Below are 18,149 nucleotides of genomic sequence, written 5' to 3' on the forward strand. Positions count from 1 at the left end.
CCTTAGATTGTCTAGGGGCACATGGACCACATGTGGGAATGTAAGTCAGTGCCCAAGATAGGGCTGAAAGGAGATCCTAATTCCTCCTAAGGATTCTAAGCAGGAAACTATTTAGAAGTCAGCAAGGTTGTGGAAGAAGTGAAGCAGAAGTAGGGAGACCACCATTCTCATTCCAAACATAACTGAACAGCACTTGAAAGCAAGACATGTGTGCGGGAAGATGCCAGATACAGACTTCTGAACAGAAATGTCACAAGTCCATAATAACTGTAACTTTCTGAAACAGGAGCCAATTTCTGATTGACTCCCAAATCTGCTAGAACATCCATCTCTACCCCAAGAGTTATTTGTAGAGTATCTCTGAAGCCAATTCCAATAAGTAAACAAATATTAACAACAACAAACATTATTTGTTCTAATATTTTCCCAGCATAGGAGTTGCAGTTTTTGATGTTATATATTAAGTATTCACAATATGTGAAAAATGGGGATAGGTAGTATACCATTAGAACAAACCCATGAAGTAGGTGCTCGCATTATTCCTACTTTTGCTTTTTTAAAATTAGGAACTTGGAGTGGTTAAGTACCTTCACAAGATGGTAGTAGGTGGGAGACAGGACTCAAATTCAGACCATCTATGTCCAGAGCCCCACTCTTGTCTACTCACTACCCGGCCATCAGCCACCATAAGCATGCTGTTGCTTCATTCTCAACTCTTCTCTGCCTGCCCTCTTAGTGCTTGGATGTCTTATTTGCCACCATCCAATATTCAAGGGACCAGCTGTCCTTGTCTCCAAGTGAAATTGCTCTGCAGGTTAAATGTCATTCTTGTTTTCCCCTTATTAAGGTGGGTCCACTTCTTGCCTTACAGTTTCCTCTCCCTGCTGCACACTTCCCTCATATTTCACAGGTCCCTAGGATTACCAACATATTCAAAGTAAACATAAAGTAAAAATTCAAGACACTGTTTAGAACAAAATATTCACTTTATAATACACATGTCTAACAAAATACTCATGTCTAGAATATACAAAGAGCCCTCAGAAATCAATAAGTAAAATAAAAACTGAACAAATGTCTGAATGGTCATAACACAAAGAAGATATCCAAATGTTCAATAAACACATCAAAAGGTAAGCAATATTCCTACTCATCGGGGAAATGTAAATTAAAACCACAGTAGTATACCACTACACATTCACCAGAATGACCAAAATGAAAAAGACTGAAAATACTAAGTGTTGGTGAGAATGTAGAACAACTGTACCTACTACGTATTGCTGGTGGGAGGGTAAAAGAGTACAACACTTTAGAAAACTGTTGGGCAGTAATGAAAATAAATATTTGCCTCCTTATGACTCAGAAATGCTACTCCTGGGAATATACCCAAAAGAAATGAGTGCATATATTCACAAAAAGACTGGTATAAGTGTACATAGCAGCTTCATTCATAATCCCCTCAAACTAGAAACAACCCAAAGGTTCATTAGTAAGAGAGTAAAAATAAATACATTATGCTATATTTATGCAATAAAAACAAGCTGCTGAGATATACACAAACATGGATATCAAAAAAAAATTTTGACTAATAGAAGCCAGACACAACAAGTACATACAGTACAATTCCATTTATGTGAAGTCCAAGAGGAGGCAAAATAACCTTTAGTGATCAGTTGAGAAATAGGATGGTGATTACATGACAGTATAAATACATATTAATTCAAGATGTATAATGCATGTAAATTATACCTTAATAAAAAGATTTTATGAAAGGTAATAGAAAATTATTTAGGAGGAAAATATGAAAAACTGACTTTCCAAATTACTTCTATGCCACGTTCATAACATTTCAAGTCATTAATAGCTGTCTCTCTTACTTCGAGGAAGGTCAGTAAACAGCCATGAAGCCTGAATTCGCCTACCCTGTACAGAAAGTTAACTGGCAGATGAATTCAGGGTTATAGGCATCCCAGGTCTTAATAATTCTGTTTTCTGTTCATTTACAGTTTCTTAAGTTTGCTAAATCACAGCATACACACAACCTAACAGTTTGGGCATACTCAAAAGAAATTGTTAAAAAGTGTACATTTGAACACATTCGCATTGCTTGGGAAAAAAAGTCAAAGTAGAAATATGGAAGTGTGAATAACTAAAAGTCCTTTTGAACTCAGTCTCTTGACCCAAGTACTTCATGAGGAAGCTAATAGCTGTCATCTACGACACTTATTTCTGCACATCAAAGTTCTTTTTCAGAAACTAATGATTCTCAGGGCCATACTGTGGCTTTCTAAAGGGGTGGTACAAGTCTCTAGACCCACTGCCTGACACTTGACAAAGAAAGTATCTGGCATACTGATATGCCAGAAGAAAGAGCAAAAGGCTATGATGTTAAGAAAGAAAGGAAAATAAATCTGGAGGGCATGAAAAGTCGCCTTGACCATCAAAGATTTGCAATTGCTAAGGTATGGTCTCAGTATAGGTTGGCAATGGGACTTAAAGGCATACTAACCTTTAATAATGAGGCAATGGGCTGGAGACAACTCAGTTAAAATAGGCTAAATTTCCCATTAGCTCTTTCTGACAGCTGTAAAGGAATCTGGGGCTCCTGGTTAACTAAAATGGCTACAGAATATAAGCCCGAACTTCACCTTTCGTTTTTTGTTTTTTGTTTTTTGTTTTTTATTTTGAGACAGAGTCTCACTCTGTCGCCCAGGCTGGAGTGCAGTGGCGTAATCTCGGCTCACTGCAACCTCTGCCTCCCGGGTTCACGCCATCCTCTTGCCTCAGCCTCCTGAGTAGCTGGGACTGCAGGCACACACTGCCAAGCCCGGCTAATTTTTTTTTGTATTTTTCGTACAGACTGGGTTTCACCGTGTTAGCCAGGATGGTCTTGATCTCCTCACCTTGTGATCTGCCCGCCTCAGCCTCCCAAAGTGCTGGGATTACAGGCGTGAGCCACTGCACCTGGCCCCGCACTTTACCTTCTACTTCTCCTCCAAAGCTTCGACATTCCAGAAAGTTATACTCCTGAATTTTCTAGTCCTCAATATTCAATTCGCAAATTGTTCTGGCTTCCAAATGTAATAACAATACCTTTAATATCTACTTAGTTTGGTTCTTGTTGATTGGCCATTATTGTCTATTGTTTCTTTTGAAATGAAACCCTTGTTCCATCTTTCAAAAAGAAAAATTATTTTCTTCATAATATTGGATAAATTTGTAAATAGTAAGCATGACATTGCTTACATAGTCATTCCTTGGTATATGTAGGGGATTGGTTTCGGGTCTACCACATGTACCAAAATTCATGCATACTCAATTCTTGCAATTGGCCCTGTGGAACCCACATATATGAAAAGTCAGCCCATCTGTATACATGAGTTTCACATCCCAGGAATACTATATTTTCCATTTGTGTTTGGTTGAAAAGAATCCTCATATAAAGGAACCTGTGCAGTTCAAACCTGTATTGTTCAAGGGTCAATTGTACTTGATTCTTAAATCTTAATGAAGATGGAAATGAATGTGAATCAACAGAAATGCTGGGACATAGACAATTCGGAACCCTGAAGTTCCTTGGCACTTGGAAACTGTTTTTAGCAATACATTCTCTCTCTGACACCCAGGCCAGGGTGCAGTGGCAGGATCTTGACTCACTGCAACCTCTGCCTTCAAGCAGGCTGAAGCGATCCTCCTGCATCAGCCTGCTGAGTAGCTGGGACCACAGGCGCATGCCACTACACCCAGTTATTTATTTGTGTTTTTGATAGAGACAAGGTCTTGCCATGTTGCCCAGGCTTGCCTCAAATTCATGAGGTCAATCAATCCCTGCCTCGGCCTCCCAAAGTGCTGGGATTACAGGCATGAGCCACTGCGCCCAGCTCAAGATTTTAGATTACACACAATATCCAACTACATAGAGATATATTAGGTATATTGCATCATTTTATTTTAAGGGCACATGATATAACACCAACTCAAAATGAGAAATCATGGTTAGCAACCAAAATTTTTGAGATACCAAAGCTAATTGAATATATCAGGGCTTTAAATTAGTGCATTTTAATTTTAATTATAATCTCTTCTTCCACAAGTGTGAAGAAAGTAAGATAACTATTCTAAGATAACCTGGTGTGTAGTAAACAGTTAATCAGGACTGTGTCAATTAAATATAGGAAGACCTGTTTGAAACATTGGCCTTTAGCAGACCTGACTTTCAGGAGTGATCCACCATTCTCTAAATGGTAAGACTGGCTCAATTTGCCTAAACTGTCTGTGCAAATAATGTGGTTTATGCTGCATATCCACTTTCCTTCTGGAAATCTGGAAGTTTGTATATCCTAGGCAGAGGGTACCTAAGTGACTGGCCTCCAGTAAAAACTCTAGGTACTGAGTCTTTAATAGGCTTCCCTGGTAAAGGCATCCCTGGTGAACACATTTCACAAGTGTTGTCTCAACTCATTACTGGAGGAATTAAGTGTATCTTGTCTTACTTCACTTGGGGACTCTTGGAAGCTTATGTTTGGTTTCCTCCAGATTTTGTTCCATCTACCTTTCCCTTTGCTTATTTTGCATTGAATCCTTTTGCTATAACACATCAGAGCCATGAATATGACTATTTGCTGAATTATGAGAGCTCTGCTAGCAAATCATTGAACCCGAGGGTGATCTTGGGATCCCTGGATACACCTGATATCTGTGAATCTCTTCTACACAGAATGAACGGCAGCAATGTTATTTCCAAAGAAAGGAGAAATAGTTTCAGGGGAACAGCATTTTTCAAAAAATGTTCAGGTCAAGCTGTCATATAAAATTCCCATCTGCTTTAGTATGAGTCTGATCAATGTGTGTGCATTCTTCTTTAAACACATAGTTCAATTACAACAACAGAAACAAAATATATTTCCTCTTTTCATTGCTTCAAGGTGAATATTTGTTTTCTTATTATTTATCTAGTAGTATTTTCCTCATACCTTTTTCTAACACAGGTCCCTTAGACTGGTCAATAACAAGTAAAACAGCTAAATTCAGTATCTTTGAGTTGAGTTACTAGCCAAATTTCCTCTGAGCACAACCTTCCTAACTTTAACAAGATCCAAAAGACATTTTCCCCAGAGATGCCTTTAACTTGGCAGAGAATGTGGGACCATCACATTTGTAGCATAGTAATTGTTTTGTTCTTGTAGTTTTAGCAAATGTTCAAGAGTCTATCTATGTATGGCCCACTGGCTTCATCCTCTTTCCTTTCTATCCAGGCTTCTTAAAAATGCAGCTGGTCACAAGAACAAATAATTGATGTGCCCAATATCCTTACTTTCTTTCACAATTTTTAAACTGGTGACATTGCTTTAAAGTGTAAAACTCCATTGGTAAACAACACGAAAAAGAATAAAAACAAAAATTATACCCTGCAAAGTAGGAAATAAAAATGTTACATGATGGAGACGTGGCTGTGGCTGACTCCTCTATAAGTACTAATGCTAAATAAAATCACCTTATACTGGGAGCTGAAATAGTATTCTGGTAAGCAATACCTCAAAATGTCAAAGGCAAAATTTTTAGACTCATGAATACCATTGCATATTTCTTTTGATTCTAATTACAATACAATTTATTCTTGATTCCAAATTCATTTTGCATCAGTGAACATTTCCTATTGTTTCTAGACATGTATCACTACATGGTAATTTGTCCATTAGTTCTCATTTGTTAAAATGTCTTCTATCAAGTCACATATGGCCAATATTAATTTTCCAAGTACAACTGCCCTTTGGCAAATGTTTATTAGCATTCACCAATACATTTTCAGCTCTTCCATGTAAAACAATTTCACTAAAATGTCTTCTCCTGCAGATATAGAAATGTCACCTGAGAAATTCATCCTTTTTTTTTTGACTCTAGAAACCCCATTGTTCTCCCACTCAAATCAAGCAATGAGCCACAAAAACTCAAAAGACCACAGACAACAATCACCATCTAAAATATAAAATGGGGAAATGACATCTGAGGGCACTCACCCACTGGATTCTGCAGAAGTGATAGCAATCAGCGGCAGAATCTTCAGGGGGAGGCTGGTTGGTCGTTGAATGTTCTCTGATTCACTTTTCAAGTCAGCTTGTTCCAACTGTCTGAAGGCGAGAGGGGGAAGCTGAATATTGCGACATGAAAGTCTCCGGACAAGATAGGGTTCCATTCCGCGGAAAGGGTCTTCCTCTTCATTACTGGAATGTAGTGTTTCCTCAGAGGCCTGAGGTAATAATTCAAGAAAGTACATATAATCAACAAAAATCACACTGTTTATCATTACATAATGGCTTAATACTTTCCTGGGAAAGAAATTAAGTAAAATGTATACATGAAAAATGCTATCTAGAAAACAGTGACATTAACTGAACAATATTTGATTAACTAAAATCTAAATTTATTTTTAAAATAGCAAATTTGTTCACCAGGTGTGGCTTGGTTAAAACAGTTAACTAACATCTTCAGTAATCTTAGAATTTATTAGCTTTGTGTGTGAATTCTATAAAATCAAGGATAAATCAAAATGTTTTTATAACTTCTATGAAATGAATTGCAAACATCATTAAATATATACATTGACATATGCATGTGTCATATATATATATATATATATATATATATACACACACACACATACAGTTATGCATCACTTGATAATGATCCATTCTGAGAAATGCATCATTAGGAAATTTCCTTGTGTGAACATCACAGTGTATTTAAACAAACCTAGATGGTACATTGTTACTGTAATAAATACTGTAGGCAATTATAACACAATGGGAAATATTTGTGTATCTAAGTATATCTAAACATAGGAAAGATACAGTAAAAATACAGTATTATAATCTTATGGCCACCATGGTATGTATGGTCCATAGTTGACTAAAATGTTATATAGCACATGACTGTATATTTATATATATCTTTCTTACATGCATGCCCATGAAGAGAGAGGAAGAAAAGTCCTATTTTTTCTGCATATTTAAGGCCATATTTGAAACATATGTTTTCATATGTCACATTTACTCAGATATACTCTTGCCAATTTTTATAAGACTGAGAGGGTAGTAAGAAAAAAAAGACTTTAAAAGAAACTTGAGGACCCAGTAGAACTGTATTTAAGTCACAGCTCAGCAGAATTTTGCAAATTTGATCCATGTTATCCACATGCAAAGGTAAACCCAGGTCAAAAGTTAATATTTTGATTCTAGTTGAGAAAAATATACTATCACATGAGCAATAATTATTTCCAAATGGCTGGAAAGTCTACTCTAGCAATATTTATTATATCCACATACTGAGAATTATAGAATCACCAAATGTTATAACATGCTTCTATAGAGTGTTGGGTTTTTGAATCTTTGCACTGCCACTTTACTATTTGTATTGATAGTGTGTTGCTTAGTCTCTCTAAGGCTTCTGTTTCTTTATTATAAAAATGGGACTAATATTTACATACAAGAATTAAATGAGATCATGCATATGATGTGCATAGTTCATTACTTGCATTGGGATTAGCACTCATATATGGCAATTTCCTTCCCTTCTGAGTTTTACAGGTGAAGAAGTTTATATTTCTCAAAATTAACCAGCTGGCTGAAAGTTGGACATTCATCGAGCTTGGAACATCCAGACCTCATTTATTACACTCCTTACTATACAACTATCTTTGGGCAAGTCACTTAGGCTCATTGAGGTTGTTTCTCCATCTGAAGACTGAGATAATAATATTTACCTCTCGGAGTCATTGTGTGGACCAAATATATAAAGTATTTGAAGCACCAATATCTGGCAAAGAGTTTGCACTCAACAAAATGGCAGCTGTTATTATAATCCAGGCTAATTTCCCCTTTCTCCATAGCTCTATGCTGTCTTTGATGCTCACTCTTCACATTGATTCCCAAATAGAAAATTTTTGTCTTCCTGATTTATATCTTGAAAAAAGGTAAAAGGATGTGAGATGGTGGACTCTATCCAACCTTGGGTTGTATTGTCCAGTTGTATAGACAAGACGACAGAAGGGTACTGAGAAGATTTAAAAAACAAACAAAAAAAAAGAGGTCAAAGCTAAAAAGAAAGTTCATTTATTTCAAATCCTAAATTCTGAGAATCTGTGCTTTGAGGAATCTACTTGCTTTATAAAACATCAATAATAATGACTAATACTTACTGAGTCTTTATTAAGTAGTGCCGTGTTTTACATATACTGTCTCATTTAATTTTTACTAAAATCCTATGAGTTACTTCTTCTTGCTTTTCCAATTTTACCCATTAAAAAACCCAGAGACCTATCATGACAGAGCCACATGGCTAGTGGGGTGATTAATCATCTTACTTCGCCTGGGACCTTTTGATTTTAGCACTCAAAGTCCTATGTCCAGGGAAACCCCACAGTCCCAAGGAAACCAGGATGATTGATCACCCTACATGTCAGGATCCAAACCCAAATCTCTTCTAGTTAAAACTGGAGCTAAAAGCCACCATGCTGCACTACCTTAACAAGTATAGTCACTGGCAGAGTGAGTATTAGTAGAAAATAACAGAACACACACTAATTGATCATAACTCAATAAGCTTCACATTTTCATTTGAAAAATTAAACAGAACTGAGATGAGAGCAGCCCTACATAAACATTAGAAATGAATGACAATCTGTCATTAAATGAGAGGATAGAAATTTTATCCCCTGCTCTGCCAGTAATTACTCAGGTGGTCTTAAGAGGTGCCATTGGTTGTTACAAAATCAGAGTACTTCATAACTGGAAGGGGTCTTAAGGTTTATTTTGTATAATGTCTTGATTTTTTGTCTGCAGAGACTAAAGACAAGCAAGGCTAAGACCAGCAGATCTGGAATAGGACCTGGGAGTCTGAATTTTAGTATGCACCACCTCTGATCCCAATGCGGAGGGTTTGAACAACACATTTTGAAAAACAATGGCTTGGAGATATCAGAAATACTATCTTTTCCATCATCTCCTTGCAATAATTCCATTTGCTAGCAACAACATAATATACAAATTTCTATAATAACCTGTTCCAGATCTGCTGGTCTTAACCTTGCTGGTCTTTAGTCTCCATAGGGATAAAATCAAAAGGTTATACAAAATAAACCTTAACACCACCTCCAGTTATAAAATACTGATTTTGCAAGAACCAATGGCAAATCAATGTTTCTGTGAGATAACAAATATAGAAAAAAACAGAAAGCATATGCACTTGGAACAGTCTTAGCTTTTAGATTGGGAAAGTGAGCCTCTGTGTACTTATGTACTTAGGAAGTTCCTCTAAGAACAGAACTTCATTCCTGGATTGGAAACAGGTCATGATTAAGTTAATGACTTATGTGTTGTGATGGTTAATACTGAGTGTCAACTTGATTGGATTGAAGGATACAAAGTATTGTTCCTGGGTGTGTCTGTGAGGGTGTTACCAAAGAAGATTAACATTTCAGTCAGTGTACAGGGAGAGTCAGACCCACCCTCCATGTGGGTAGGCACCATCTAATCAGCTGCAAGCACAGCTGGGTTAAAAGCAGGCAGAGAAACATGGAAGGACTGGAATGCCGGAGTCTTCTGGCCTGCATCTTTCTTCTGTGCTGGATGTTTCCTGCTCTCGATCATCAGACTCCTGTTCTTAAACAGGTGGACTCTTGGACCTACACAAGTGGTTTTCCAGGGACTCTTGGGCCTTGAGCCACAGACTGAAAACAGCTTTCCTACTTTTGAGTGTGATGAGAATTATAGAATCATCAAATGTTACAACATGCTTCTACAGAGTGATGGGTTTTTGGATCCTTGCACTGCCACTTTACTTACTTTTGAAGTTTTGGGACTCGAATTGGCTTCCTTGCTCCTCAGCTTACAGACCGCCTATTGTGGGACTTCACCTTGTGATCGTGTGAGTCAATACTCCTTAACAAACTCCCTTTCACATATACATGTATCCTATTAGTTCTGTCCCTCTAGAGAACCCTGACTAATACATGTGTAAATACTCTTCTTCTGGATGAACATAGAAAAGAAGAACAAAGGATGAGTCTAGCAAAGCTTCAGTAGCACTAAATATAGCTGGCCAAAGTTAACATCTTTTTATAAGCATTTAGCTGCCTACTCTGGGTGTTAGCATTGCAATTGCAAAAATGCTTTATATAACTGAGGTTATCTGTTGAATGACTTAATGTTTTTGACATTCTTTTTTAGATAAAACTGCCTCAAGACGTAACTTTTTTGAGATAATTATCTCTACTAAAAATGAAGTTTACACTCATGCTTATACTCTGTTAGTTTAAACCCACTTTCTATAAATACTTTTATCTTTACAATAAAAATGATAAAGCACTAGAGGGCTATATTCTAACATTTTCCATTCCAAAACAGTATAAGAGGCTTTTTTCACACTCTAGATCAATGTGTATCAGTTATGGTTCAGAAATAAAAAGAACAACCTTATCAGGTAGAAGGTAAGAGGTTAAATGCCTTTATTTTGGAGAGAGATGTAAAACTAATCACCAGAGCAATAAGTATCTTATGTTATTGTTAGAAAATGGCATTATGGCAGGGAGAAGATGGAAAAAAGATAGTATTTCTAATGTCTCCAAGTCATTATTTCTCAAAATGTGACATTCAAACCCTCTGCATTAGAATCATAGATGGTGCTTGCTAAAATTCAGACTCCCGGGTCTTATTCCAGATCTTCCTAAACACAATCTCTATGAGTAGGGCTTATGAGTCTGAATAAGTCACCAGTATCATTCCAGTGCATATTAAAGTTTGAGAACTAATGGTTTTGACATTTTAGACATAGTTTAATAAAACTGTTTGGCAAATATCCAGGCACAAAGATGTTCACTGCAGCTCATTTATAATAGCAAATAACTGGATGTAATCTAATTGCTGTACTGAAGGATTGGCTTAGTAAATGTTGATACATCATATGATGAAATACTATGAGGCTGTTAAAATAATGTAGAAGAATACGTAATCATGTTAATGACACAATGTTGAGTGGGAAGAACAGATTATAGAGTGCTCCCATTTTTATAAAACAATAATATCAAAACAAAACAAAAAAGTCACATATTATATTCATAAAACAATTGTTTAAGGATGTATCCTAATTCTCTAAAATGGCTCTCCTGTGCAATATTGGTAATAATTTTGTTTTAGTATCTTTATTAATTATGAGCTTCTGTATTCCCTATAATAAAGATGTCTTGTTTTTCAATTTTAAAAGTATAATAAAAGTCATAATAATAAAATGATACAACATTCACCTTGCTATTGATGGGACTTAGAAATATATTCGGCTTCAAGATATGCAATATCAAAATAAAAGAAATGCTCACATATTGAAATAACTGTAATATGAACCTGCTACCTTGTAGTAAAATAAAATTATATTCAAAAATTAGCCAACTTATATGGAATAATTGACAGACAAATAACTTTAATGTTATGCTTTTTACTGCATAAAATTCTTTCTGAAATACATGCCTAAAGTAAGCAATTCCATAATAATTGACACTTACAATGGATGAATGTTAAATTTATTATTATTATTTTCCTTTTTGTTTGTTTCAGTTTTTATCCAAGATATTTAATTAATTTCTTTGTTTAATTTTTTTTCTTTCAAAAGTAGACAATAAACTACTTAATGGCCTTTAAAACACAGGCATGCACATTACTAGGGTTAAATAAATTTCTGTGGTTCTTAATAATCTCACAGTCTCTGATATTTATTTCATATATATATAGAGAGGGGGGAGAAATAAAATTTCTATAAGAAAATCCCCTTAAGATGTGTGTGTGTGTGTATATATACATATACACACATACAGTATATGTATACACACATATATATATACATACATATGTAAACATGTATATACATATATATATTTATACATATACATATATAGGCATTGCAGGAAAGAATGTTTCTTTCTTGGCATGCAGTGAGACCACATCTCCAGACTCCCTTACAGGTAGCTATAGAGATGTCAGTGAGTGTTACATTACATGCTCATTGATTATAAGTTAAGGAAATGTGTATGGGTCTGTGTATGTGCCACTTTCAGGCCTGCCACATAAAAATTTTGTGAGTACAACCCCCTATTTCTCTTCCCCTCTGTAGCCCCTCACCATGTGTTGAAGATGGTAGAGTCACAAGATGGAAGAAGCCATGGTTTCTTAATCATTATTTACATGAGAGACACTTGCCAATCAGAAACACTTAATTTGGGGTACACGAGCCACAGATAATCTTCTGTTGGGGTAATCCACAAAAATTTAGCATTTTCTTGTTACAGGTAGTACTATTTTATGTGTATATCTCTAAAGGAGTTCAACCTATCTTAATTGTGTTTCCATTCCTATTAATTTCCCAATTAATCATTTATTGAGCACCTACTACCTTTGATGCTTGTGTCGGGTACTGAAAATGCAGAGATGAATTAGGCACCTCCTTTTGCTTAAGCACTTACAGTTCATTTGAGGAAAAATATAATAGACAGATAATCACCAGTATATGATCAAAGCTGTAACAGAGAACTTAGGGTTTACTGGAGTACATAACACTTTTGCAAGTTGAAAGAAAGTGCTAGCCAGTTGTGACATCGACAAAAAGAGAACACCTGGACTGTTGCAGACAAAAAAAGATGTAGATCACCCCATAAATTGGACATTTATTTTTGCTTTCTGTCTATCTGCTTCTCCAGTCATTTTCATTTAGTCTCATTGCTGGCTCCTCAATTAACTGTCTTTAAAACCTAGGCATTGTCCAAGCTGCTATCCTTCAACCATTTCTCTTTTCTTTTCTTTCTTTCTTTCTTTTTTTTTTTTTTGAGATGGAGTTTTGCTCTTGTTGCCCAGGCTGGATTGCAATGGCATGATCTCAGCTCACTGCAACCCTCGCCTTCCAAGTTCAAGTGATTCTTCTGCCTCAGCCTCCCAAGTAGCTGGGATTACAGGCACCTGCCACCACACCCAGCTAATTTTTTGTATTTTTAGTAGAGACGGAGTTTCATCATGTTGGCCAGGCTGGTCTCAAACTCTTGACCTCAGGTGATCCACCGCCTCGGCCTCCCAAAGTGCTGGGATTACAGGTGTGAGCCACTGCACCCGGCCGCATTTTTCTTTTCAATCTGCCTACTCAAGTTGAAAATATCATCCAAGACAATGAATACAAATATCTTCTGCCTTTTTATTTATGACACCAAGTCAGCCTTCAGCCTGACAACTGTAGGAGAATGATTTGCCTGTGTGACTACTCACTCTGTTAGCCTGGACACATGGACACATCTGGAAGGAAGGGAGACAAAACAACTTTTGTACCCCTAGCACTTAGCCAGTGCCTGGAACAAAACATATGCTAAATAAATCTTGCTGAGGAAAGAGTGAAGCATATAGACATACTCATCTCCATTTCTTCAACTGCAAGAAATTAGGAAAGAGGAAATGGTATTAGATATTGGTGTTACTAGCAATGTAGTATTTGTAACTATTATTATAAGTCAGGCATAAAGTTGAAACACATAATAGGGAATTTCTATAAAAATTCCAAAACTTCAGCCACTCAAACTGGTTGGGTCTCTCCCCATGTTCAAATATTCTTTCAAATATATAGACATCATGATTAAGTATTTTCACCTATTTTGTTTTAAATAAGAATGAAGGATTTCAGACACTCAGTGCTTTCAGTGAGCCTACACTATGCAGAGCATTGTAAAGGTCAGCATGTTAAATAGTCAGATAGGTCCAGGAAGAAGACAGTCATAGGCAGAGGATGTGTTTTGTTTTATCACTTCCAATGCCACATTCCTTTTTTTTCCTGTCCAGTTAGTTTGATGCAACATTAAGTTCTGTAAAAGTAAAGTTTCCCTGTACCTAATTTTGTAGTATAAACAAGATAATGTTAGTGACTCTTCAAGGACTAGGATACAATTTAATAGGCTATTATCACAGTGGATTAAAAGTCATATTTGCAATCTTAACATATTATATGCCAATAGCAGACATTTTCTCCATATATTAGTCTTTCATGTCCCCATGAAATTGTTAATAATGCACTAAAGCAATAATGGAAAATGAGCCTTAAATTTCTCTAAGCCTTATGCCAAATGTTTTTCCTCTTGTCTCATTACTTATTATGTATGTTTTATCTTAAAACTGAATGCTATTATTGCCCAAATAACTTTACAGGAAACAAACAAGTCAAGGCAATAAACATCCTGTCCTTTAATATAGAAAAGGGCATTGTATCGACTTAACACAATCAATTTTCAAATGGATATTTGTATATAGAAAAGATACTCTTGCAAAACTAATTCTATATAAAAATGAAAATTTCTACCTCAGGTTAACACAAAGATAACAGATAGGTTTCAAACATTCACAGAGCATAATCCAAATATAGGCTGTGATTTCATACTGATTAGAAGAGACAGAAATCACTGAAGTCCTTCTAAAGCCAATTTCCTATAACTCAGTCATCAAAACTTCCAAAAAGTTTCCAAAAAAGGAATAGAAAAATCTCTCATTCAGTAATATTCTACTGTATATTCTCATCAACAAGAAACTCGATCTGCAACTCTAGGATTCAATTAACCTTTTGTAAATAGCATTGTACATTTCCTGGCTGACTTTAAAAAATAAAGTCAATTCTATTTTGTTAGTAGAGGAAGGAAAAAAAATAAGGAAAAACATGAGTTCTGTCAATTATTTCCTTCACAGTTACATACAGTAATAGAATCCCAAGTGTAGAAAAGAAACTAACATTGTTTTTTTAGCAGCTAAAAATTATGTCTTACAGTAAGTATAGGTAAAACTCAGCCAGTTTACTCTCTCAAGTGTTTTGAAAAGTTTCTCACTTGAGGAACCAGGGGTCAAATCACAACCTTAAAAGAAATACAAAGGATCTATTGTCTTCATTCTCAAGTTTTATTTAAATACCAATACCAATCAAAACTATGTGTATAAACATGAAAGAAAAACCTAAAACCATCATTTAAGTGATGATATATTTATAATGATAAACTGGGTATGTAAATCTAGAATAAACTAACAAATATTGGGCTGTGGGAGGAAAGGGGAGACAAAGTAAAGCTAAGTTCCCTTTCCACATGCAGAGAGCCAGAAATGTTGCTTTGCTTTTGGCTTTGATATTCAGATAACTACAAAATATCCCCTTGATAAACAAACTATGGATCAAAAGAATGTTTATATTAAACTTATATTTAACATTATAGCTACTGGTAAAGCATAGGTTCATGCTTAAGATCAGGATAATAATAGAAACTTAGTAATATTTATTGTATTACATATATTGTATAGGTAGCTACTTGATTCTTATAAAAACTGTACAAAAAACTGTTACTATTCCCATGATACAGATTTGGAAATGAAGCTTAAACAGGTTAGTTTGTCCATAGTGACACTATCAACTGTACAGAGGTTAGTTTGCCTGGAATGAGAACAGCAGGCTGGTTCCATGGGAGCTTTCCACAGGCCATCTAGGCCTGGCTCCAGCCTTGCTTCAGACAAAAAAGAATGTCTCATGTGGTCTGAGGACTCATGGCAATGTGTGTGCAGACCTCCCTCTAGCCACCTCGTCTTTTAAGACCTCTCAGTTCTAACTGAGGATCCTTCAGAGTTTTGAGACCAGGTTTAGCTGATATCAATGTTCATAGTTTTAGCCCAAATGTAACATTGCCCCCATTTTTCAAAAACCTCTAACAAATTCAGTAACCCAATGTGAGGAATAGAAATAGGAGGCATAAAACTATAAGAAAAGTGAAGGCAACTTTATCCTTATTTGATTACAACCTAGTTTAATGTAGGAAACCCAGAAAAATCAACTGAAAAATAATTGAAAATAAGAATAGTCAGGTAAGTTTGTCCAGTTTTAAAGTAAAATATGCAAAAGGCTTTTATTTATAAAATCAAAGACCAGTTGTTAAAATTACCACACCAACATCTCATTTATAAAAACAAACAAAACCAAAATGTTTAAAAATAAGCTCAGAAAGAAATAAGTAGAACTTAGATTAAGAAATCTATACAACTTTTCCAAGACTTATATAATCAAGACTGATGTTCCTTTGAATAATTTTCTAAGTTTAATGTTATTGCAAGAAAATCATCTCTTTTTTAGTTTTTTATTTTACTTTTTGGAGGAATTAGGCCATGTTATAAAATATAACATGGTTACGGTCTTGCTCTAATACATATAAAATTTTACCATGAAGCCACAATAACAACCAAAAGTGTGGTACCTTCAAATAATCAACAGAAAGTTTAGTGGAAAAATACAAAATTCCCTTAAATATTTTCTTATATAAGAACTTAGTATGTGTCAATATGTGTTACAGGAAACACTACTAGCTATTGGGAAGAGAACAATTATATAAGTGTTAGGAAAGTGACTATGTACGTGTGAGATGAAATAAGAGCAATATTAAATACTGTAAAAGTATTCTGTAGAGTTTCATCAGCGAGAGAGCTAATTCTCCACCAGAGACGCCAACTTAGCAATAATATATGATCCAAAAAGTTTTATGAAAAGTCTAGAAACCAGTCAAGAAGTTGCAGTGCCTGAGGCAAACTTAAAGAAAATAATAGTCTCATTGAAACAGATGAGAAAAGGCATTTCACGTCAACCATGACAGCCCTTCCTCCAAGCCAGCACAGCTTGGTGTCATCAGGAAAAATAAATCACACCTTATGACTTCTCCCTTAGGAGAGAAAGAGAAGAGTGGAATGTATGTCCAATGTTCTGGTTTTTCAGAGTGTTGTCTGAGAGACTGGTTTCTGTCTTGCCTGATTCAGAGCACTAATGGAATCTACATACTTTGGATGCCTGGGGTCTGCAGAGAGCAAAAGGTAACTCAGTGGCTTATTGCAATGCCACAGAACCTGCAGTGGTACAGACAGACACCAGACGGAGAAGGAGATTAAAAGCTCTTGGAAGAAAAAGAAGCAAATCACTCTAACTGGGAAAGAACACACACAAATTCAAAGAAGATGTATCCCGTGGTAAAAAAAAAAAAAAACAAAACAAAACTGGAGAGGCTCCCAAAATCTCTATGTGGGCTAATTGGTAAAAGTCTTCCCCTGTATGAAGCCAATTTATAAGGACTGAAGAGGTGGCTGCTTTTTCAAATGCACAAATCACAGAAAAAAATAACTAGGCACACAAAGAAACAGGGAAACATGACACAATCAAAGGAACAAAATACACCTCCAGGTACCAACCAGAAAGAAATAAAAATTTATGTTACTTGGCAAATAATTAAAAATAATATTAAAGAAGTTCAATGTGCTAGAAGAGAGCACAGACAGAAAACTAAATGAAATTAGGAAAATGATGCAGGAACAAAATGAGAATATCAACAAACTTCAAAAAGAAAACAAACATTCATGGAGATGAATACAGTAATTGAGTTGAAAAGTTCACTAGAGCATTTCAACAGATGACTCCATCAAGCAGAAGAAAGAATAAATGAACTCAAAGAGAGGCCACTTAAAATTATGAAGCCAGAGATACAAAGAGGAAAAAAAGAAGAATGAAGAAAAGTGAAGAAAGACTAAGAAACATATGGGACACCATCAAGTGTTCCAACATACACATAATGCAAATCTGAGAAGGAGATGATAGAAAGAGAGAAGGACAGAAAGCTTATTTGAAAAAAACAATGGCTAGATACTTGCCAAATCTGAGGAAGGAAATGAACAACCAAATTCAAGACACTGATAAAACTCAAACGTGGAAAAACCAACATACCAACATAAATTATAATCAAACTGTCAAATATCAAAGACAAAAAGGGAATCCTGAAAGCAGGAAGAGAAAATGGCTCATCATGTGCAAGCGACCTTCAATGACATTAGCAGATTTCTCAGGAGAAACATTATAGGCCAGAAGGGAGTGGGACAATATATTCAAAGTGCTGAAAGAAAAAGTCTGTCAACCAAGCATACTCTTTCTGGCAAAACTGTATTTTGAAAATGGAGGAGAAATAAAGATAAACAATGGCTAAGGTAGTTCTTTAGCACTAGACTTGACTTACAAGAATTGCTAAAAGGAGTCCTTTGAGTTGAGACAAAGTATGCTAGACAGCAACACAAAGG

General features: G+C 35.6%; 1 protein-coding gene across 16 annotated transcripts in view; it reads right to left on the minus strand.

Annotated features, from left to right (window-relative positions):
- Positions 1 to 18,149, minus strand: part of PDE4D (phosphodiesterase 4D) — a 1,553,091-nt gene that overhangs the window by 1,013,433 nt on the left and 521,509 nt on the right. For 15 of the 16 annotated variants that reach the window (XM_024446112.2, XM_024446110.2, NM_001364599.1 and 12 more), the window contains one exon: positions 6,018 to 6,247. In XM_024446112.2, the coding sequence (XP_024301880.1) occupies positions 6,018 to 6,247 (230 nt within the window). Of the gene's footprint in view, positions 1 to 6,017; positions 6,248 to 13,295; positions 13,338 to 18,149 lie in introns of those variants that run through there. The other variant, XM_017009567.1, reaches the window with a different exon arrangement.

Source organism: Homo sapiens, chromosome 5 (assembly GCF_000001405.40).
Source record: "Homo sapiens chromosome 5, GRCh38.p14 Primary Assembly".
In the NCBI taxonomy this organism is placed as follows: Eukaryota; Metazoa; Chordata; class Mammalia; order Primates; family Hominidae; genus Homo; species Homo sapiens.